Below are 6844 nucleotides of genomic sequence, written 5' to 3' on the forward strand. Positions count from 1 at the left end.
TATTTATGGCAGCCAAAAGTAAAAACAACCCAAATGTTCATCAGCTGATGAGTGGATAAAAAATATGTAGTATAGCCATACAATGGAATATTATTGGGCAATATAAAGGAATGAAGTACTGATACATCATACATACAATGTGGATAAATGTTGAAAACATTTTAGTAAATGAAAGAAGCTAGTCACAAACGACCATATATGGTATAATTCCAGTCATATGAAATGTCTGGAAAATCAAATCCAAAGAAACAGAAGTAGATTGGTAGTTACCTAGGGCTGGGAGGATTTGAGAGGATAGCTAAAAAGAATATGGATTTTTATGGCATGATGAAAATGCTCTAAAATTGTGGTGATGCTTGCACAACTCAGAATATGCTAAAAACCATTAACTTATAGGATTTAAATGAATGATATGTATGGTATATGAATTATATTTTAATAAAACTTCTATCAAAAAGATCAATAATGTGTCAGCAGTAGACTATATACATCAAAGGATAAATTAATGAACTGGAAGATTAACCTGAGAAAAATCACTCTGAATTCAGTACAAAAACACCAAGAAACAGAGAATATGAAAGAGAAATACAGTTTGAGAAGCTCTGGCTTGTGTCTAGTGGAGTTCCAAAAATAAGGAATATAACATATGGGAAAAAGAAGATATTTACAAAGATCGTGGCTAATTATTTTCCATAATTTAGGAGAGATCAAAAGCCCCAGACTGAAGGAGTTCATATTGATATTACATAATAGACAAAAAAAAAAAACAAACAAACAAAATCACCACAAATGCTGAGAGAAAAATTATGTTGCTTTTAAAGGAATATTTAGACTAAAAAAATTTTTGTTCAGTGACAATGGATGCCAAAAACAGTGAAACATCTTTAAAGTGCTGAAGGAAATAAACTTTTACCTAAAAACTCCATATCCATCTAACCTACCATTGAATAATTAAAATAAAGACAACTCAAGAAATCTAAAAAGTTGGCCGGGTGCGGTGGCTCATGTCTGTAATCCCGGCACTTTGGTAGGCCGAGGTGGGTGGATCACCTGAGGTTAGGAATTCCATACCAGCCTGGCCAACATGATGAAACCCCGTCTTTACTACAAATAAAAAATTAGCCAGGCATGGTGGCACACACCTGTGATCCCAGCTACTCAGGACGCTGAGGCAGGAGAATCGCTTGAACCTGGGAGGCAGAGGTTGTGGTGAGCCGAGCTTGCGCCACTGCACTCCAGCCTGGGTGACAAAGCAAGACTTCATCTCAAAAAAAAAAAAAAAAAATACAAAATAAAATAAAATAAGAAAGAAATCTAAAAAGTTTCACTATTAATGGATCGTTGCTTTACGAACTACTGATTGATGTAATTCAGCAGGAAGGAAATTAAATCCAGAAAAATCTATGGACTTAACAAAAAATGGTAAGCAAAGAAATTATAAGTATGTTGGGTATAGTGGAAATGCAACTGAGTCCTATCCAATCATCCTATATTTCACATCAAAGTATCGAGCAATATGATCAAATCTGATAATGAACAGATTTGGGGTCTTAGTCTACGAGAATCTTTTTCTGGTTTGAAAAGATTGAGTTTCCTATAGATAGAGCTGAGATACTTTTTTTTTTTTTTGAGACGGAGTTTCACTCTTGTTGCCCAGACGGGAGTGCAATGGCGCCATCTTGGCTCACTGCAACCTCCGCCTCCTGGGTTCAAGCAATTCTCCTGTCTCAGCCTCCTGAGTAGCTGGTATTGTAGGTGTTGGCCAGGCTCGTCCTGAATTCCTGACCACAGGTAATCCAACCACCTCGGCCTCCCAAAGTGCTGGGATTACAGGTGTGAGCCACTGCGCCTGGCCAAGCTGAGATACTTTTTAAATGTTCTTTGAGTGTGTATGTGGTGTGTGTGTGCGTGTGTGTGTGTGTGTTTGTTTGGTGTTTGTTTGGAGAGAGAGGTATGTCTAACTTGCTACAAGACTTCCCTCCTCCACTCAGGAAGTTTGTAGTCAGCAGACCAAATTACTGAAATGCAAGTACTGGTGCTCCTTGGTTCTTTACCTTCTCCCTCTATTCTCCAGCTCTTAACACTTCACTCCTCTCACTCCCTTTCCCTGTCCTCTGTCCCTGTTGGTAGTAATTCCTCCACTGATTGCTAGACACTGGGTGAAAAGCCAAAAAGCTATTTAGTGTATCGATATCATGGAATCCACTTGGCAGTTAGTTACATTTAACCTGAGTCCTGCAATGAGCAATGATAGTGCCACTGTACTCTAGCCTGGGCAACAGAGCAGACCCTGTATCAAAAAAAAAATCTATAGTCACTGACAACTATTAAAATGGGTTTTGTCTCTTTTATTTCTATCATAGTCTATTCAGTATATCAATATGAGATGAAATGGCCAACTGTTGGCCAGAGTTTGGAATAGCAAGTCTCCTGTAAATTACACAATGTACCGAGCTCAAAGGCTCAGAGAACATGTAAATCATTGCTGTTTGGATATGATGCAGTACTGCTAAGTGCCTTTTCATCTTATATGCCAAGTTCTCATATGATTGAGAAAACTCACTCTCTGGAGGTCCAAGGAGGCATCATTAAATGGTGACTGTTGGTGCAGTAAAGTCTTAGTTCTGCCTCAGTGACCTGATCTATTACCTCAGGGCCTCATTCTCTTTCCAAGTCACAATGTTACTTTTCCTTTTATCTTGTAAGGGCCTAGAACATTTATAGCATTGACGTCAATAATCTGATGACTTCCGTGCAGTTGGCAGAGATCAGCTCACATTTCTATCATTCATTTGCTTGAACAATCACAAACGGAAAGACAAGCAGACCCCTTTCCACTCTCGTGCTATGTTTACCCTAAGTACTTTGCTGAGACTTGGCAACAACCAATGGAACCAGGAGATAATTTGTTTGGATTAGGTCAATAGTCACCCTCTGATGTTTTTATCTATCTTGTTTGTGATGCTGCAGTGGTCTCTCTTCTGACATTTCATCCTACTCATTAATGATTTAGACAAATCCATCTTATAAATGACACAGAGAGCTGAATCACTAGTATTTACTTATTTTTGAAATTCACATTTAAGTCAATAATTATTTTTTAAATGTCATCAATATACGCCTACTAAGCTTAGTTTCTTAAGTAAGAAAATATAGATGGAAACTCAAAGAATTCCACTTTATGCTATACAGATATGTACAAACATGTAGCTGCTTAGAAAGACCATTCTCACTGCTCTCATAATTTCAATTATTTTGAAGAAGGTGTTTCTTTCTTTTCTTGATAGATTAAGTTTAGTAACTTTTTTTAAAAGAAAGAGAATAGTTAGGGAAATAAGAAGTACTCTGCAGTTTCTATGTTTCTATGTAAATCTCTAACCATGCTTTGTATTTTGATTTTCATATGTCTCTTCCCTTCCCTTCCCTAAAGAATCTGAATATCTGACATAGGCAACTTATGTCTTTCATGAGTTCTAGTGCCTTTGCAATATACTTCTTATTCTATCGTCACATCATCTACCTCATCTTAATACATAGCATTTCACAGTTTTCAATCTCTGGTATCTATTTTGGTTTTTACAACAATCCTATGATGTAAGGGAGTCAGATATTGCATGCCTTTCCATTTTATCCCTGGTGTGAAATGTTTTTCTTCTGATAATTAGTGTAACTACAATAAAATTAATTCAGCTTCAAGAATTTTACAATGCCCAGTGATATAACACTTCTTGAGAGTACCATGAAATAAACCTGGAACCAAGGTAGTGGGAAAGAGGGTAGCATTTAGAAAATATCAGAAAAGCCTGGAGCTACACTAAAACAATGCCCTGGTTGGCTTCTTAGCTTCTTCCATGTTTTGCATGCATGCCTCTCAGGCCACATGTTAAACTTTCTTTACGTTTTCTTTTCTTCACCCTACCCCCTGTTTTTTAGTGATTCCCCTAGGAATCAGGAAGTTTGTAGTCAGCAGACCAAATTATTGAAATGCAAGTACTGGTGCTCCTTGGTTCTTTACCTTCTAGTGATTCCTAGATTCCTAGATTCCTAGATCCCCTAGGAATCAATAAAAAACAAAGAACAAACATTTGTTTGTTAAATGTTTAAAAAACATTTGTTTTTTTTTAAAAAAAGACCTTCATAAAAAATTGAGGTATGGAATATGGAGGAGCTTGAATACTGTACAAGTCAGGAGAAGTAACTGCTGGCTGCTTTGACAAGTCAACTTCAAAATCTCACTTGCTTAACACAACAAAGAATTATTTCCTGCTCTTATTACAGTCGAATGAAGGCCAGACAGATTTACTCCAGTGGTTTCTCAGAGATGCAGGCTGCTTCTACATTGCAACAATAGTATCTCAAAATTCTTTGCTTCCAATATCACCAATGAGAGAGAGAGAGAGAGAAGAGTATTGTGGTGAATTCACACTGGCTCATAACTGCGTTGGACTCACAGTAGCAAGTCATACACACTCGCATTTCCATTGGCCAGAACTAGTTATGCAATTCCAACCTAATTACAATGCTGAAAAATGTAGAAGAGTATGTAGAGTATTTGGTGAGAACTGTTTCTGCTGTTAAAGAACAGAATGATTTTGATTCGTAGAAAATTAGAGCTGAAAAAGATTTTATAGGACATCTAGACTAATCTATTTCTTTCTTTTTACAGATTAGAGAAGAATCAGAGATTAGAGCAGTTAAGAGACTTGGTCAAAGTTGTATATTCCTAAGACGTGACAGAGGGAGGAGTTTCTATCATAATAACTAGTGTTTATTCAACTCTGGTTGTGGGCCAGGTACTGTGCTAACATATTTACATGTCTTCTCTCCCTGCTGCATCACACTAGCCCTGTGAGACAGACACTGTTCTTATCTTCATTTTAAAGATGAGAAAAATAACAAGTAAAATATCTCAGGTCACGCAGGTAATAAAAGGCAGAAAGGAGATTCAAACCCAGACTGTGTATCATGAAAAATGCCAACTTACAATCAATCTATTTTTTGATGCCCACTCTTTTTGCTCTGGTCCCCAAATTCCCCTTGGGATCATACCACAAGATGACACAGCTCTAAACTTAAATAATAGAAAAGTCTTCATCCAAGGACACTGCTGCAGGAACTTTAAAAACAGAAACTGCTGCAATATCCTTGATTGTCTAGAAGACATGTTGAAGTTACTTGTGAGAGTAGAGACAAAGCTATGCCATAAACATGGGCAAATCACTCCTGGATTAGCATGGAGAAATCTGCCCCTGGCTATATACAGGGTGTTTCCTGTAAGGCCTAGGGGGATTTTCTGTCATGTGGGAAGTAGCCATTTCACAATACTAGATCACAAACATTGACTTACACCCACAAGGTAAGTGAATGGAGAAAATAAATGTTGCAGTGTGTGTGTGTGTGTGTGTGTGTGCGCGCGTGTGCGCGCGCGCATATTTTATATATATATATATTTTTTTTTTTTTTTCTTTTTTTTTGAGACAGAGTTTCACTCTGTCCCAGGCTGGAGTGCAGTGGTGCAATCTCAGCTCACTGCACCCTCTGCCTCCTGGGTTCAAGCAATTCTCCTATCTCAGCCTCCTGACTAGCTGGGACTACAGGTGCATGCCACTACGCCCGGCTAATTTTTGTATTTTTAATAGAGATGGGGTTTCACTATGTTGGCCAGCCTGGTCTCGAAATCCTGATCTCAAGTGATCCACCCACCTCGGCCTCCCAAAGTGCTGGGATTACAGGCGTGAGCCACCGCGCCCTGCTGCAATGTGTATTTAAAAAGAAAATGCTAAATCAAATATCGTGGTCATTTCTTCCGGTTCTTGTTCTTCCATTTGACAGCACTACTGGGAGTTTCAGTCATAATTGTTTACATTCAAACAAGTAGTAGTGATCAAAGCCTAGAGTTTTAAAGTTAGCTACTTTATCATCATGGCAAAATTCTTCATTCATTAAAAAAGACAAAAATTGATTTATAAAATTGTTTCTAACAAAGATCAAATTTTATGTGCTTACCGCAGTGCCTGGAATATAGTGAACATTAGTAAATGGAAGCTTTTGCTATTGTTATTCTTCTATTATTACTAGACATCTTAGCCAGTGCATCACTATAAAGCCAGTTTGTTCCCACTTTAAACTTTTCAATTTTTTTTATCCCAGTGGAGATACAAAATTTCACTGGGGGGGATGAGTGGGAATGAGATAAAATTACTCATCCTATTTATTTAACTGAAATGACTCCTTGCTTTTGAATTCACCAAACTGCCAAGATGTTTTGGCCTGGTTCAGACCCAGTTTGCAATTGGAGGGCCACCAATATTCAGGCATAGAACCACATCCTTTCTAAAACATGTGGACGCAGGCCAGATGAAACATGAGATAACTAAGTGAGTACCAGTCCAAATAAGTGTTTTGGAGAGAAAATAAGTTTCTGTTATCCAGTCTTGATGAGGTCTTATGGTGAATGAAGCATGTTGTCCAGGAAAAATTAGTGTAGTTGCCATCAGAAAAACTGCTAGGAGTCCTGACTCTTATTACTCATTTGTTGAGTCTCTCACTTTGTTCAGAGTTATCTGTTTTTCTTTCTTTCTTTTTTTACTGTTAAGTTGGTAGTTATTTTGGGAATACAATAAGATGGCATAGTAAAGTGTCTCACAAATAATTCCATATTGACATACAACCCCACCATAACATAATAAATTAGGCCTAAAAATTCAGCTATGTAAGACATGGAGTCACTTTGTTACATGATGAATGCAGAAAGTTCCTGGGTCCAAGTGTGCCATCCACATCTGCCCAGGTTCTGCTGAGGTTGGACATGTCTTGTCTCTCCCAGTCAGTTGACCAGATGGAG

At 37.8% G+C, this 6844-nt stretch overlaps 1 annotated feature.

Moving 5' to 3' along the window:
- Positions 1084–5814: an enhancer, noted in NCBI's record as "VISTA enhancer hs2505". NCBI's record gives its function as "enhancer in: other[4/5]" and the evidence as "EXISTENCE:transgenic organism evidence [ECO:0001131][PMID:17130149]".

This window comes from Homo sapiens, chromosome 7 (assembly GCF_000001405.40).
Source record: "Homo sapiens chromosome 7, GRCh38.p14 Primary Assembly".
Lineage (NCBI taxonomy): Eukaryota > Metazoa > Chordata > Mammalia > Primates > Hominidae > Homo > Homo sapiens.